General features: G+C 39.3%; 1 long non-coding RNA gene and 1 pseudogene across 1 annotated transcript in view, besides 1 other annotated feature; both read right to left on the bottom strand.

Moving 5' to 3' along the window:
• The window catches only part of LOC105372544 (uncharacterized), a 74761-nt gene that overhangs the window by 441 nt on the left and 56384 nt on the right, over nt 1–17936 (bottom strand). The window lies entirely within an intron of this gene.
• Nucleotides 8883–8988, bottom strand: RNU6-27P (RNA, U6 small nuclear 27, pseudogene; annotated as a pseudogene).
• Nucleotides 16495–16996: an enhancer, noted in NCBI's record as "H3K4me1 hESC enhancer chr20:17160147-17160648 (GRCh37/hg19 assembly coordinates)". NCBI's record gives its function as "activates a minimal SCP1, AML or CMV promoter by ChIP-STARR-seq in naive and primed H9 embryonic stem cells {active_cell/tissue: H9 hESC(naive and primed)}" and the evidence as "EXISTENCE:reporter gene assay evidence [ECO:0000049][PMID:30033119]".

Genomic DNA, 17936 nt, shown 5'->3' with positions numbered 1-17936 from the left:
GGACCGTGGCTGGCTGCCCCTTGGTCCTGTAGTATCTACCATATGATTCAACATGTAACTCTAGAGTTGAAGGACAGTTTCATTGCTCTCACTTGATTCTTTATGATGTACATAATATTATTACAAATAATATTATCATCATTACTGTCTTATACAGTCAATTGTTACTTAGAATTACCCACACATTGATCGCTTTCTTCAATTTTCATGTATTTTTGCTTATTCCTGTTTATTGTTTCTGCTGATCTTTACTTATAGTGTCTTGTCTTTTTGTGTATTTGTTTATCTGTCTTTGACTATGTGCTGGATATTGCATTTTAAAAATTATTTGTAGAAATAACTTACAGTATAGAACTTATTTTTTTCTCCAAAGATTTTCCATGGATTTTTCTAGGTACCTATAGGTACTAGTAATCAGGGATAATCTTAATCCAGCTTTAGGGTCTGGAATTTCCTGGATTACCCAGAAGAGTTATAGCAGTCTGCAGTCTATGTCAGAGCTAGTTTACTTTCATTTCACCCTGACTCCTGGAATCTTAGACCGAAACCAGGGGGGTTACCTTGACAGGCCCAGGACCTTGGCATGCATTCTCCTAACCTGATGAGGTTGTCAGTAGTGCATTTCGGATCATCAGCTCTGTTTTCAGGATTGGCAATTGCCTTGAGGATGTAAGTGGCCTGGGGGGCAGGACTCACAAGTTACCCTCTTTGAACCCCAATTTCCTCATCTATAAAGTGGAGATAATGAGTCCTATCCTATAGGGCTGCTTTTGGAATTACAGAGGTTATTTCTGAAAGATTAGGATGGGACGTGACTCAAGTAAGCCTAAAATACACACAACATTTGCTGTAGTTGTTGTTATTGTTCATGTCATTATATTATTATTTAGACACTTGCACCAGAAATATAACAATCAAAATAAGACAATAAATGTAGATGCTTGATGAGAAGTACAGAAGAAAGATGGCATCTGAGACCCGAACTGTCCTTACCCATACAGCTTAATGTCTACCTCAATGCAGCTTCACTATTCCACTATCTTCAACAATATGCCATCACTCTTCTAGGCAACTCTTGCCCAGGAAGTTGCAAATAACTTGATTGGTCATTCCAGAAACTTCCTGAAAGATCTATCACCTCTTCAGTAGAAAGCACCACCTTACAGTTTATACCCCAAGTCTTTGAACACATCATCACAAATTCATGAATCCTAAGTGATTTTGACATGATTATTGCCCATTCCTAACCAAGCCTACAACCACCAACCCCATTGAAAGACACACCTTAAACCAGACTTCAAAATCTCCTAAGTATCCCTATTTTGCCCTGCCCCTCTGTGAAGTGCTAGTATGACTCTCAAAGTAGTGCTTTCACTTACTGCAGAAGGATAAACTGAGGTTTATCTTTTCAACAGATTGTTTTGGAGATATTTTCAGGAACCAGCATTCCACACAGTGGAAGAGAAAATGGGGAGAGAAATGATTATTTTCTTGTATTTCTAACAGTGAGCACTGTCTTATTCCTGGGAAGTGCTCAGTAATGACTGGATGAACACTTGAGATGACTGGACACTTGAGTGTATCCTCAGAGCACACCTTCCCCAGATGAACTTAAAGTGTGACTCAAGAGTCATTTTAAATATTAATACAATTAATGTAGTAAGAGCTAATATTTATTATTTATTACTGGCCAAGCACTGTTTAAATGTCCTGTTAAGGAATAATTTTAAAAAAGGATAAAATGATCCTTATACAGATAAAAATGAGCACCTGTCAAAAATTTAACTCACTAATTATTGAGGATCTGGTAACATGCTACAACTAGTTCAAACACATTTATAGTTAAATGAAAAATACTGAAATAAATTTACAACCAAATGCAAAACTGGCCAATATCACTTACATTCCCAGGGCAATAATCAGTTACATTCCCTGGAACTCAATTTGTATTTCATGGGTAAAAACGATTCACATTATTATCAGTTTTCTACAACTTCAGAATTGTGAAATAACTCAAAGATGAGGAAAGGTGGAGATTAACCCAGATGAATAAGGAAGTCAGGATCCCACTAATCCTTTTACTCATTTTAAAGTCTTTTATACATCAAGTATTCATGATTAAAAACAAACAAACAAACAAAAACACTTTCCAAAGTAGCAATAGAGGAAACTTCTTTAATCAGTTAGAGACGTATCTATACCAAAAACCTACAGCAGACATCAGCCTGTCTGGTGAAGGCCTGGAAATTTTCCTTTCAAGATGAAGATCAGAACATGGATGTTCACATTTTCTGCTTTCACTTGCTATTGTAGTAGGAGAGGTCTTAAGTGGATATGGCAGAAAGAAAGAAAGAATGAATGAAAAATAAAAAGGAATGAACTACTGATGCATGAAACAGCTTGGCTATATCTCAAATCATCATGCTAAGTGAAAAGAGCTAGACAAAAAAGGCTCCATAATGTGTGATTTCGTTTATATTGCACCCCTGGAGAAAGCAAAAGTGTAAGAACAGAAACCAGATTACTGGTTCCAGGGACTGGTGTGGGGAAAGGAGCTGATTACAGAGGGGTACAAGGGAATTTATGGGGTCATGAACTTTTAAAAATCTCCATTGTGGTGATAGTTATGTTATATGATGTTATGCATTTGTCAAAACTCATAAAACTGTATACCAACAGGTGAATTTTACTGTATTTAAATTATATGTCAATAAATATGACGAAAAGCAAGTGCATAAATGTATAGGATTGTCATATCTCTTTGACTAATTGATCCTCTTGACATTATGACCTGACCATTTTTATCTCTGATAATATTCTTGGCTTTGAGATCTACTTTGTCTTATATTAATCAGGCCACATCTGTTTTTTTGTTTGTTTGTTTTGTTTTGTTTTTTTGAGACGGAGTCTCGCTCTGTCGTCCAGGCTGGAGTGCGGTGGCACGATCTCTGCTCACTGCAAGCTCCGCCTCCCGGGTTCACGCCATTCTCCTGCCTCAGCCTCCCAAACAGCTGGGACTACAGGTGCCTGCCACCACGCCTGGCTAATTTTTTGTATTTTTAGTAGAGACAGGTTTCACCGTGTTAGCCAGGATGGTCTCGATCTCCTGACCTCATGGTCCGCCCACCTCTGCCTCCCAAAGTGCTGGGATTACAGGCGTGAGCCACCATGCCCGGCCCACATCTGTTTTTTTAAATGGTGTGATTGACCCACCCAAGGAGACCCCCATTGTCATGCCCTTGTATGATGCCATCCTATGAGTGCAGGTGAAACTTATGACTTGCTTCTACCCAACAGAATATGAGAAAATTGATTTTTTCTTTCTTTTATTTTGGATAGCTTCTATTGCTATGTTTTCAAGTTTATCAGTCTTTTCTTCTGCAAGGTCTAATCTGCCATTAATTCCATCCAGTGTATTTTTTATCTCAGATATTATAGTTTTTGTCCCCAGAAAATTGGACTGGGGTTAAAAAAAATTTCTATGTCTTTACTTCATCTCTGAACATATGAAATACCATTATAATAATTGTTTTGTTGTTCTCAAATGCTAATTTTAGCATTGGGTCAGGTCTGGGTCACTTTCAATTGATTGATTTTTCTCTCTTTGTTATAGATTATATTTTCCACGATTTATCCATGGCTTGTTATCATTGATTGGATGTCAGGCATTATCTGGTTTTATGATAGGTATTTTTTATTTCTACACATTTTCTTGAGCTGTTTTTTCTAGGATGCAGTTCATTTACTTGGAAATACTTTTATTCTTTTGCATCTTACTTTTAAAATTTGTTAGGCAAGACAAGAACAGTTAATTTTTCTCCATGACCAATGCAAAATCCTCCTGAGCACACTACAGAATGATTTTCTTTATTGTTTAGATTCCAAATATTTAAGTATTTTATCAATATCTTTCTCTTATTGATTTCTAATTTTATTATCATTGATTTTCTTTATTATTTAGATTCCAAATACTTATTTTTCTCAATATCTTTCTCTTATTGATTTCTAATTTATTTCTTTGTGAACAGAAAACACATAAATTATGAGGTAGTTATAAATTATGAGACTGGAACGTCTGGCTGGGGGAAAGGCACTATTCCTGGCCTTGAGTCCTTTTCCCTTTACACCTTTTGGAATGCTTCTTTCCCTGGCCTCAGGAAATCTCATGTATGTGCTTATTGGTACTTTGCTGAATATTTGAGTGAGACCCTCTGCAGATCTCTCTCCTCTTTGGTACTCTGTCCTGAGAACTCTGTTGCCTTGTCCTTCCCAGGCCCTCAACTCCATCCTTTAAACTGAGGAAGTCTGCTGGCCTCTACCTTGGTTCTTTATTACTCTGCCAAGGATGGGAACTCTCTCAAGGTAGTAGCTGAGGTTATTGTAGAGGTGACTTTTTTTTCCCTCATCTCTCAGGGGTCACTGTCCTTCATTGCCTGATGTCCAATATTTTGAAAATCATTGTTCAACAAATTTTACCTTTTGGGGGTTGTTTTAAGCAGAAAAATAAATCCAGTACCTGTTATTTCATCTTTACCTCTTGCAGTTTTAACGTGTGATGCTTAAAAGAGAGATCAGTAAATAAAAGCAAATTGCATTGTGTCTGGTAATACAGCTAGATAAGAAGGAATCTGTACCTATGAGAAACACTTAGTAAGTTTCTTCGTTTCTCTGTTACCTTGATCATTTTTCCTAATAATCAAAGTCTGCAAGATTGAATGTGTAGATGTATCAGTGCTTTGGACATTTTATTATGCTTTGATGTTATCTTCACACTTTTTTCTTCATCTTCCTGTGAAAGGATATGACTTATCTTTGCTCCATTAAAAGAAAAGAAGGCCCGACAGCTCAGAATTCTTAAATGGAATGGATTGTAATTGAAAAGTACTCTCCAACTCAATCAGTTCTTGTTTATGCAAGATACAGAGTGGAGAAAAGGCACTCTCCATATATGCACATGTACATGTAGGAACACATCACTAGGACTATTTTCAGATTACAAGTTGTAGAGTTTCCCATCTTGCCTGCAGCTTTTATTCCAGGTGTCCAAAGCCCTCCAGCTCACATTCCTCACATCTTTATCAAAACCTATATAATCTCTTAAAGGAAGAGTTACTAGCTCAATGTGAAGTGCTGCCAGGGATTAAAAATGTTACTGTGGGAAGTTGCTCTTGCTAGGTCTGAGACTTGACTGGATGAGCCTCAGCTGCAGCATCTGTGGTCTCGATCTAGCTTTTCTCATTGCTTTCTTCCTCCTCCCTCAGCCGGCCACAGGCAGACCTTCCTGTCACACAGTTCCTTGGGAGCTGTACCATTCCGAATCCAGTGGATAACTCATTCTGCTTTAAAGAGGAAGAAGGAGGAAAAGTTTATCTTTTGTTTCCTTCTTAGCTAATTTTAATTTTAATAAGGCTTTCTGCTGCTGGGGCTCCCCCTGAGATGGGGGCCCATCTAGAATAACTAGAAGGGTAGACGACTTTCTGCTTATGAGCTCTGAAGGTTTTTCAGCCTGCACAGGTCCTGCAACACCTGGATATCTCTGTGTGGAGCCTCTGGTGTCTGAGGCAATGCTTAAGACTGATGCTATCACAATGTTGATTGACAGGAACTTCTTCTACCACGAATATGATGAGAGAAAAGCTGGCCTCTCTGGCCTTTCTGCTCTTGCCTGCCACTGGCATCTACTTCACTGACTTTATTTTATTTTTTAGAACTGGAAGACCTGCTGGTGGTGCATTTAAAAAGGTTTAAAGAAATGAATAAACAAAGATGCAAATACTTTAAGAGTGCTGCACACAGCATGCAAATGTGGCAAAATTTGTGAATAATCACAGGAAAGGGATATGTCAGATAAAATTCTTTACATCTCCTCTCTCATGTTTGGATCTGTGGGAAGAAGGGGGCAGTGCGTCTGCTGCTGTTCTGAACACAATTCCTGTCTTTGATGCTGGGTGCTCGTGACCCTATGTGCCAGCTTATTTTTCACTCCCTGGACGGCTTCAGAGATTTCACGGTTTCTGTGATGGGAAGCTTAGAGGATTCCTGAGACATCCTGCAGCTGTGCTTGTTCTGGGTCACCAGCCCAACTGTAACTTTGCATCTACATAACCATTTTGGCAAAAACGTGATGGTTTTTATTCATTTCCATCGCAAGTGCCCTGCATTGTCCTGATATGTCTTCCTCCTGAGCCCTTCAATGGAAGTCTTATTCCCTGGTTCTAGTGGGGTGTCTTTTAGTTGCCCCCACTAACAGGCCCCCCAGTTGTGTTTTAACCTCACATGGAAGACAGACAGGAGCAGGAGATGGGTGTTACAGTGTAGTGTGGGGCTTCTGTTGTGGGGTTCCAAGGCTACAGTTCCCACAATGTCCTTCACCTCTGGCCTGGAGCCAGGAGACTCAGTGGACACATGAACCAGATTTACTTTTTTTTGTATAGTTATGCAACTTTTATTTATCAGAAAAATCATATCACACAAACACAGATGTCCAGTAAGTCCTCACCTAATGTTCAAAAGAGGTTCTTGAAAACTGCAACTTTAAATGAAACAATATTGCTATACACTAAACGTAACTCTTGTTTGTATCAATTAAACGCTGGTAAAACTAGTTTACTTTTTTCTTTCTTTTTTTTTTTTTTTTTTTTTTTTTTGAGGCAGAGTTTCACTCGTCACCCAGACTGGAGTGCAATGGTGCGATCTCGGCTCACTACAACCTCTACCCCCCTGCTGAAGTTGTAATTAAACTATTCCCTGCATTCTTTTCTGCAAACACTTTAACTACTATGTCAGTATCGGGGTTCAAGTGATTCTTCTGCATCAGCCTCCCGAGTAGCTGGATTACAGGTGCCCACCACCATGCCCGGCTAATTTTTTGTATTTTTAGTAGAGACAGGACTTTGCCATGTTGGCCAGGCTGGTCTTGAACTCCTGACCTCCTGATCCGCCCACCTTGGCCTCCCAAAGTGCTGGGATTACAGGCGTAAGCCACCGTGCCCAGCCCTAAAATTAGTTTTCTTTAATTATATATTGCTTCACTTACAGTTTCCAAGAATCTATCAACAATGTTAAGAATTTACTATACACATATATAACATATAGGTGTGTGTGTGACAGCCATTTTTATACAGATATAGATAGATATATCTCGATGACAGAATCTCAGTTAGGCTTCCTACTAAATAAGACAAAATTATAAGATAATAGTTATTAAGAAATACGGTAATGATTGAGAGCATAATATACACTTAGCAATGTTCTAAGCTGGTTAATGACATACTGCACTTAAGAAATCTAGAAGGTGAGTAGATACTTTAAACCGGTGACCAACCCTTTGAATGCAAGGACTTTTTTGCTTATCTATGGTGGCGTATATCACAAAAATTATTCATGAAACTTCGTTTTAAGCTTATCAGCTATTATTAGTGTTAGTGTATTTTATGTGTGGCTCAAGACAATTCTTCTTCCAATGTGGCCCAGGGAAGCCAAAACATTGGAAACCTGTGCTTTATACTATATTTAATTTGAGAATTTGCACCTACAGAGTTTAAATCACAAATCTCAGTTTATACTAAAACAATAACATTTTGAAATAACAGTACATTTTTTAATATTTAGAAAAACGTTTATTGTTCTGATAAAATTGCCGAGTAAGAATTTTTGTAGAATTATATTTGTAACCTCTATAGGAGTAAAAATCACAAAGCAGAAGAGGTACAACATCTGTCCCTAGTGTTCCCGGGATTTCTGAACCAAATTCCAATATGTCCACTACTCACCTTACACATTTTAGACATCATCCAAAACGAATATTTGAAAAAAAATACTTCGACATAGAGCTCCTCAATATACAAATATTCCTGTGTCTCCAAAAGCAATGGAACCACAGTCAGATCATGCAGCCCCTTACAAATGGTAAAGCGGACATTGGTTTTCCCTGTAACCTTGAAGGGAGATCACTAAAGAAAAAAGAGGATACTTAGAAGATTTAACAGCATGAGACAGAAGATGCCCCATTGGTGTATATGAGAAAAAAATGCAGCCTTTTCAGAAATTATTTTCATTGGAGCAGAGCTTCCCAAACTACATTTTAAGGCCTGGCTTCCTCCTTGACCTTAGTCCCCTTGCCTGTGTCCTCTATTTCATTCACTGTCACCTACCTGGGGGTTTGGCTACTGTCTCATATATCTTCACATTGTAGGGCTCTTTTCTTTGCTCCAGACAGGTGACCAGGTCTGGGTTACAGACAGTAACACCCAGGTTTCTGTAGTTCTGCAACGTCACATCTCTATATCAATTCTTCTGGGCACGGTCCAGGTATTTCCACTCTTCTGCAGAGAATTCTATGGCCACGTCCTTGAATGTTAATAGTTCCTCTCATTAAAGTATCTGGAAGTCCTCATGCTTGACCTTGGCCTCACTGTAATATGCGAGGAGCTTAATTTAAAAAACAGAAGTGTTTCCACCCAGAACAATAAACAGGATTTGTGGGGAGGGCACAGGTGATGATTTATCTTCAAATTGTCCATGTGATCCTATTGGAAGACTGGGCTGAGAGTCACTTAGCTAAGCTCTGCCTCTCAAGCTTCAATGTGCATATAAATTATTTGATATTCTAGGCCTCACTGTAATAAAATTTTGCAGGTTTGAAAAGAGTCCATGAATTAGCTTCTTATAGCAAGTCTCCTGTTAATGCTGATGTTTCTCCTCCTAGACTCATTATAGTACCACTTGGCTAGAGAAAAGCACAGCACACAGAGTCCCTTACCCCAACACCCTTATCACAACACAAATACTTTTCATCTGAAGACAAGACCACCAATCATCTTCCAGAAGCATGGCATTCTCTGCAGGCCCTTTAAAGTTTACAGAGGCTGCAGGTGGTGTCAAAAATATGGAACGCTTCACGAATTTGCATGTCATCCTTGCGCAGGGGCCATGCTAATCTTCTCTGTAACGTTCCAATTTTAGTATATGTGCTGCGGAGGGGAGCACCAGATTCATTTTTTTAAAAAACACTTTTATTTTAGGTTCAGAGGTGCATGTGCAGGTAGGTTTTTTATATAGGTAAATTGCGGGTCATGGGGGTTTGGTGTACGGATCATTTAATCACCAAGGTGATAAGCATAGTACCTGATAGGTAGTTTTTGATCTTCTCCCTCCTCTCACCCTCCACCCTCAAGTAGATCCAGATGTCTGTTGTTCTCTTCTTTGTGTTCATGTGTACTCAGTGTTTAGCTCCATCTCACAAGTGAGAACATGCCGTGCTTGATTTCCTGTTCCTATGTTAGTTGACTTAGGATTATGACCTCCAGCTCCATCCATGCCTCTGCAAAGATCATGATCTCATTCATTTTTATGGCTGTGTAGTATTCCATGACGTATATGTGCCACATATTCTTTATCCAGTCTGCTCTTGATGAGCATTTAGGTTGATTCCCTGACTTTGCTATTGTGTAGTGCTGTGATGAACACATACATGCATGTGTCTTTATGGTAGAATGATTTATATTCCTCTGGGTATATTCTCAGTAATGGGATTGCTGGGTTGAGTGGTACTTCTGTTCTTTTAATTTTTATTTATTTATTTTAATTATTATACTTTAAGTTCTAGGGTACATGTGCAGTACTTGCAGGTTTGCTACATATGTATACATGTGCCATATTGGTTTACTGCACCCATTAACTTGTCATTTACATTAGGTATTTCTCCCAATGCTATCCTTCCCCTTTCCCCCCACCCCACCACAGGCTCCAGTGTGTGATGTTCCCTGCCCTGTGTCCAAGTGTTCTCATTGTTCAATTCCCACCTATGAGTGAGAGCATGCAGTGTTTGGTTTTCTGTCCTTGTGATAGTTTGCTCAGAATGATGGTTTCCAGCTTCATCCACATCCCTACAAAGGACATGAAACATCCTTTTTTATGCCTGCATAGTATTCCATGGTGTATATGTGCCACATTTTCTTAATCCAGTCTATCATTGATGGACATTTGAGTTGGTTCCAAGTCTTTACTATTGTGAATAGTGCTGCAATAAACATAGGGGTGCATGTGTCTTTGTAGGAGCATGATTTATAATCCTTTGGGTATATACCCAGTAATGGGATTGCTGGGTCAAATGGTATTTCTAGTTCTAGATCCCTGAGGAATTGCCACACTGACTTCCACAATGGTTGAACTAGTTTACAGTCCCACCAACAGTGTAAAAGTGTTCCTATTTCTCCACATCCTCTCCAGCACCCGTTGTTTCCTGACTTTTTAATGATCGCCATTCTAACTGGTGTGAGATGGTATCTCACTGTGGTTTTGATTTGCATTTCTCTGATGACCAGTGATGATGAGCATTTTTTGATGTGTCTGTTGGCGGCATAAATGTCTTCTTTTGAGAAGTGTCTGTTTATATCCTTTGCCCACTTTTTGATGGGGTTGTTTGATTTTTTCTTGTATATTTATTTAAGTTCTTTGTAGATTCTGGATATTAGCCCTTTGTCAGATGGGTAGATTGCAAACATTTTCTTCCATTCTGTAGGTTGCCTGTTCACTCTGATGGTAGTTTCTTTCTTTTCTTTCTTTTCTTTTCTTCTTTTCTTTCTTTTTTTCTGAGACAGGGTCTCGCTTTGTCACCCAGGCTGGACTGCAGTGGTATCATCTTGGCTCACTGTAACCTCCACTTTCCCAGTTCAAGCGATTCTCCTGCCTCAGCCTCCTGAGTAGCTGGGATTACAGGTGCATGCCACCATGCCTGGTTAATTTTTGTATTTTTAGTAGAAACGGGGTTTCAGCATGTTGGTCAGGCTGGTCCGGAACTCCTGACCTTGTGATCTGCCCACCCTGGCCTCCCAAAGTGTTGGGATTGAAGGCACGAGCCACCACATCCAGCCTGTTTTTTTCTTTTTTTTGAAAATTGTGTGTTCATGTGCTTTGCCCACTTTTTAATGGGGTTGTTTGATTTTTGCTTGTTAATTTGTTTAAGTTCCGTATAGATACTGGATATTAGACCTTTGTCAGATGCATAGTTTGTGAATGTTTTCTCCCATTCTGTATGTTGTCTGTTTATTTTCTTGGTAGTTTCTTTTAAACTGTGCAGAAGCTCTTTAGTTTAATTAGGTCCTCTTTGTCAATTTTTGTCTTTGTCATAATTGCTTTTGGTGTATTTGTCATTAAATCTTTGCTAGGCTCCTAGGTTATCTTCCAGGGTTTTATAGTTTCAGGTTTTACATTTAAGTCTTTAATTGATCTTGAGTTAGTTTTTGTTTATGGTGTAAGGAAGAGGTCTAGCTTCAGTCTTCTGCATATGGCTAGCCAGTTACTCCAGCACCATTTGTTGAATAGAAAATCATTTCCCCATTGTTCTTTTTGGTCAACTTTGACAAAGATCAGAAGATTGTAGGTGTGCAGGTTTATTTCTGGGTTCTCTATTCTTTTCCATTGGTCTATGTGAGTGTTTTTGCACCAGTACCATGCTGTTTTGATTACTATAGCCTTGTAAGATAGTTTGAAGTTGGGTAACATGATTCTTCCAGCTTTGTTTTTTTTTTTTTTTTGGCTTAGAATTACCTTAACTATTCAAGCCTTTTTTGGTTCCATGTGATTTTTAAAATAGTTTTTTTTTTCTAATTCTGTGAGGAATGTCATTGGTAGTTTGATAGGAATAGCACTAAATCTGTAAATTGCTTTGGGTAATGTGGCCATTTTAAAAATCTTGATTCTTCCTATCTATGAGCATGAAATTTTTTTTATTTGTTTCTGTCATCTCTGATTTTTTTTTTTTTTTTTTTTTTTTTTTTTTTTTTTTTTTTTTGAGACGGAGTCTCGCTCTGTCGCCCAGGCTGGAGTGCAGTGGCGGGATCTCGGCTCACTGCAAGCTCCGCCTCCCGGGTTCACGCCATTCTCCTGCCTCAGCCTCCCAAGTAGCTGGGACTACAGGCGCCCGACACTACGCCCGATCTCTGATTTCTTTGAGCAGTGTTTTGCAGTTCTTGTTGTAGAGACCTTTAACCTCCCTGGCTAGCTATATTCCTGGTTATTTTATTCTTTTTGTGGCTATTGTGAATGGGGTTAAATTCTTGATTTGGCTCTCAGCTTGAACGTTGTTAATGTATAGAAATGCTACTGTTTTTTGTACATTGATTTTGTATCCTGAAATCTTAAGTTGTTTATCACTTCTAGGAGCTTTCAGGCAGACTATGGGGTTTTCTAGGTATAGAATCATATCACATGCAAATAGAGATAGTTCGACTTCCTCCCTTCCTATTTGGATTCTTTTCATTTCTTCTTTTATTTCTTTCTCTTACCTGGTTGCTCTGGTTAGGACTACCAGTACTATGTTAAATAGGAGTGGTGAGAGTGGGCATCCTTGTCTTATTCCTGTTCTCAAGGGGAATGCTTCCAGATTTTGCCCATTCAGTATGATGTTGGCTGTGGATTTTTCATAGATGGCTCTTATTATTTTGAAGCATGTTCCTTCAATGCCTAGTTTGCTGAGGATTTTTAGTATGAAGGGATGTTGAATTTTATCAAAATCTTTTTCTGAATCTATTGAGATGGTTATTGGCCTTTGTTTATAGTTCTGTTTATGTGGTGAATCACATTTATTGATTTTCATATGTTGAACCAACCTTGCATCCCAGTGATAAAGCCTACATGATGGTGGTGGATTAGCTTTTCAATGTGTTGCTGGATTTGATTCGGTAGTGTTTTTTGAGGATTTTTGCATCTATGTTTATCAAGGATATTGGCCTGAAGTTTTCTTTTTTTGTTGTGTCTCTGCCAGGTTTTGGTATCAGGATGATGCTGGTCTTATATAATAAGTTAAGGAGGAGACTCCGCTCCTTAATTTTTGGGAATGGTTTCAGTAGAAATTGTACCAACTCCTTTTTATATATCTGGTAAAATATGGCTGTAAATCTGTCTGGTTCTGGGCTTTTTCTGTCTGGCAAGCTTTTTATTACTGATTCAGTTTCAGAACTTGTTATTGGTCTGTTCGGGTATTCAGTATTTTCTGGTTCAATCTTGGAAGACTGTATGTTTCCAGGAATTTATCCATTTTTTCTGGGTTTTCCAGTTCACATGCATAGAGGTGTTCAGAGTAGTTTCTGAAGTTTTTTTTTTTTTTGTATTTCTATTGTGTCAATAGTAATGTCCCCTTTGTTGTTTCTGATTGCGTTTATTTGGATATTCTCTCTTTTATTGTTGGTTTGTTTGTTTGTTTTTGAGAAGGAGTCTTGCTCTGTCACCCAGGCTGGAGTGCAGTGGCGCAATCTTGGCACACTGCAACCTCTGCCTCCCGGGTTCAAGTGATCCTCCTGCCTCAGCCTTCCAAGTAGCTGGGACTACAGGCATGTGCCACCATGTCCAGCTAATTTTTGTATTTTTAGTAGAGATGGGGTTTCACCATATTGGCTAGACTGGTCTTGAACTCCTGATCTTGTGATCCACCCACCTCGGCCTCCCAAAGTGCTGGGATTACATGCATGAGCCACCATGCCCAGCCTCTTTTATTCTTTATTAGTCTAGCTAGCAGCCTGTCAATCTTATTTATTCTTTAAAAGATTCATATCCTGGATTTGTTGATCTTTTGTATGGTTTTTGACATCTCAGTTTCCTTCAGTTAAGCCTTGATTTTGGTTATTTCTTTTCTTTCACTAGCTTTCAGTTGGTTTGCTCTTATTTTTCTGGTTCCTCTAGATGTGACATTAGGTTGTTAAATTGAGACCTTTCTAACTTTTTGATGTGGGCCTTTAGCACTATGAACTTTCCTCATAACATTCTTTATCTGTGTCCCAGAGATTCTGGTATGTTGTATCATTGTTATTCTTATTAATTTCAAAGAATTTCTTGATTTCTACCTTAATTTTATTGCTTACCCAAAAGTCATTCAGGAGCAGGTTGTTTAATTTTTATTTACTTGTATGGTTTTGAGTGATTTTCTTGGTATTGATTTCTATTTGTGTTGTACTGTGGTCTGAGAGTGAGTTTGGTATGATTTTAGTTTTTTGGAGTTTGCTGAGGATTGTTTTATGGCCGATTGTGTGGTCTATTTTATAGTATGTGCCATGTGCAGATGAGAAGAATGTATATTCTTTTGTTTTGGGGTGGAGAATTCTGTAGATATCTGTTGGGCTCATTTGGTAAAATGTTGAGCTCATGTCCTGAATATCTTCATCAGTTTTCTGCCTTGATGATCTGCCTCGTATTATCAGTTGAGTGCTGAAGTCTCTCACTATTATTATGTGGTTATCTAAGTCTCTTTGTAGGTCTCTTAAGAATTTGCTTTCTGAATCTGGGTGCTGTAGTGTTGGGTGGATATATATTTAGGATAGTTAGATCTTCTTATTGAATTGAACTCTTTACCATTATGTAATGCCCTTCTTTGTCTTTATCAATCTTATTGGCTTAAAGTCTGTTTTGTCTGAAATTAGAAGAGAAAACCCTGCTTCTTTTTGATTTCCATTTACTTGGTAGATTTTTCTCCATCTCTTTACTTTGAACCTATGGATATCATTCATATCCATATGTGTGAGACGAGTCTCTTCTAGAGAGCATACAGTTGGGTCTTGCTTCTTTATCAAACTTGCCTTTTAATTGGGGGAATTTAGCCCATTTATGTTCAAGGTTAATATTGATATGTGTGGGTTTGATCCTGTCTTCATGTTCTTAGCTGGTTATTTGGATGATTTTATTGTGTGTGTGTGTGTGTGTGTGTTTATGGTGTCAATGCTATATGTATTTAAGTATGTTTTTGCAGTTACTGGTATCAATCATTCCTTTCCACATTCAGCACTCCCTTAAGGACTTCTTGTAAGGCAGTCAGGTGGTAACAAATTCTCTTAGCATTTGCTTTTCTAAAAAGAATTTTATTACTCTTTCCTTATGAAGCTTAGTTTGTCTAGATATGAAATTCTTGGTTGGAATTTCTTTTCCTTACAAATACTGAGTATAGGCCCCAAATTTCTTCCAGCTTGTAGAGTTTCTGCTGAAAGATCTGCTGTTAGCCTGATAAGATTCCTTTTATAGGTGACCAAACCCTTCTCTCTAGCTGCCTTTAACAATTTTTCTTTCATTTTGACCTTGGAGGATCTGAGGACTATTTGTCTTGGGGATGGTCGTCTTGTGTAGTATCTTACAGGGGTTATTTGCATTTCCTGAATTTAAATGTTGGCCTCTCTAGTGAGATTGGGGAAATTTTCATGTATAATATCTTCAAATATGCTTTCCAAGTTGCTTGCTTTCTCTCCCTCTCAATAACACCAGTGAGTCATAAATTTGGTCTTTTCACATAATCCCATATTTCTCAGAGGTTTTGTTCATTCTTCTTTATTATTTTATTTTATTTTTTCTGACTTAGTTATTTTGGAGACCAGTCTTCAAGCTCTGAGATTATTTCCTCAGCTTCACCAGTTTTGCTGTTAATACTTGCAATGTATTATGAAACTCTTAAAGTGAATTTTTCAACTCTCAGTTAATTTTTCAGCTCTCTTGGTTTAATCTGGTTCTTTCTTAAAATGGCCATTTTATCTTTTATCTCTTGTGTCATTTTATTGTACCCCTTAGATTCCTTGGATTGGGTTTCAACTTTCTCCTGAATGTTAATGATCTTTATTCCTATCCATAATCTGAATTCTGTTTCTAACATTTCAGCTTGGTTAAGGACCATTGCTGGGAACAAGTGTGGTTGTTTGGAAATAAGAAGACTCTCTGGCTTTTTGAATTCCTTGACTTCTTGCACTGGTTCTTTCTCATCTGTGTGGGCTGATGTTCCTTCAGTCTTTGAAGTTGCTGTCTTTTGGATTGTTTTTTTGCTTTTATTGTTTTGGATGTCCTTGGGGATTTGATTGTGGTATAAGGTGGGTTCACTCAACTGGCTTTTATTCTAGTCTGCTCCTGGGTCTTGAAGGTGCCCCATTCAATTACTGTCTCTGTGCCCATGTTTCTTTTGTTGGGTGTTCTGGGCCACAAGGCTTCCTCAGGCAAGGAGTGTAGTTGGCAGACAGGCTGTATCCTAGCCAGGTTGGTCCTAATCTACTGTCTGAATGCTTCCCAAGGGAACATGGGGTTGCACCTGCTGCAGAGTTCAGGCAGAAGTGGGACCCCTGGGCTTAAGGCTCTAGTAGGTGTTGCCTATCTGGCTAAGAGAGGTGGGGTGGGTGGGGTTACCTGCCCTGCCATCCTGGTGTTTCTGGGGCAACAGGAGGCTACATCCCTTAGCAAACTCAGGAAGAAAGAGGACTGCTGGGCTGGAAGCTCTAGCAGGCATTGTGCTCCTGGCTGCCAGTGCTGAGGGTGGGTGTGGTGGTCTTTCCTGCTGTCTAGGTGTTTTCCAGGACAACAGAGGCTGTGCCTGCCAGTTGAGTTCAGGTAGAAGTGGGACGGTTGGACCAGCAACGCTAGCAGGCATTGCCTGTCTGGCTGTCAGTGACAGGGGTGGGTGGAGTCACCTGCTTTGACATCCGGATACTTCCCAGGACAGCAGGAAGCTGCAGCTGCTGGCTGAGTTCAGGCAGAAGCAGGATTGCTGGACCAGAAGCCTGGCAGTAAGCCCTGTTCAGTGAGGGGTGGTAGAGCAACCCTACTGCTCCCGGGTACCATGACTGTGACCTCTATTGGGGCTTGGTGCTGGTGCTGGTCTGCTGTGGGGCCCAAGGCTTGTAGAGGTCCCTTTTTGTCTTGAGAGTTACCCCCGCACAATGTCTAGGTGGCTCTCTGCCTCAGTCTAGAAGCCGTGTGGTGGTGGGGGCTGTGGAAGGGCCAGGGGATTCTCCCATTCCCAGTCTTGCACTAGTCCCCGTGGAGAGCACGCATCCCCCAGGGGCACTCATTCACTCACTCACTCACTCAGTCACTCACTCACTCACTCATTCGGAGAAATTCTCCTCACTCTGTGCTGAGCTCATACAAGCTGCTGCCCGGCGTGGCTCCTCTCTGCTGTGTCCCCCACTGCCTTGATGGATCCCGACATGGTTTCTCAGATGATCAGCTGCAGAGTCAGTGTTCACTAGTTCTTTTGTTTCCTTTCTGTGAGAGTAGCACACAGGAACTCAGAATTCACGTTTTACAGCATGATTTATTTTATTATTTGAAAACGTGTAGACAGAAAGATCCCTTTGGCCAAAGAGAAAGTCTAGAAATAGATCCAAATACATATACACATTTCATACATAAAAAGGTTAAAAAGATGAATCATTTTGAATAGTATTAGGATACCAGGATAGATGAGTGGAAAAACAATTACATTTAATTCACCTCTTACATCTTACACCAAAATGAATTTTCAAAGCATCAAAGGTTTAAATATGAAAACTGAAAACATGAATAATTAGGAAAAAATACTTAAAATCTTGATGTAGGGAAGACTTTCAAATCATGACCCCACAGCTAGCAGCTATGAAGTATTAATTTAACTACATAAAAATTTTAAAATCTTGTGTGGTAAAAATTATGACAAGCAAAGTCAAAAGCCAAATGATAAATAAAAACAAATTGTCCTGTAATCCCAGCACTTTGGGAGGCCGAGGTGGGTGGATCACCTGTGGTCAGGAGTTCGAGACCAGCCTGGCCAACATGGTGAAACCCCATTTCTACTAAAAATACAAAAAGTTCGCTGGCGTTGTCGTGGACACCTGTAATCTCAGATACTTGAGAGGCTGAGGCAGGTGAATCTCTTGAACCCGGGAGGTGGATGTTGTGGTGAGCCGAGATCATGCCACTGCATTCCAGCTTGGGAAATGAGAGGGAAGCTTCGTCTCAAAAAAAAAAAGACACCAAACAAACAAAAAACAAATTGCAACTAAGATGCAAAGAGTTAGTTACCTGAACACATGACCATTCCTGTAAATTGATTAGACAAAGTATCAAAACCACAACAGACAAATGGCAATGGATGCAAATGGATATTTGAATGAAATGGAATGAAATGGAAGTCTGAAATTAGCATCACTGGGTCA

This window comes from Homo sapiens, chromosome 20 (genome assembly GCF_000001405.40).
Source record: "Homo sapiens chromosome 20, GRCh38.p14 Primary Assembly".
Lineage (NCBI taxonomy): Eukaryota > Metazoa > Chordata > Mammalia > Primates > Hominidae > Homo > Homo sapiens.
Note: the sequence above shows the minus strand (reverse complement) of the source record. Positions and strands in the feature narration are given on the sequence as shown.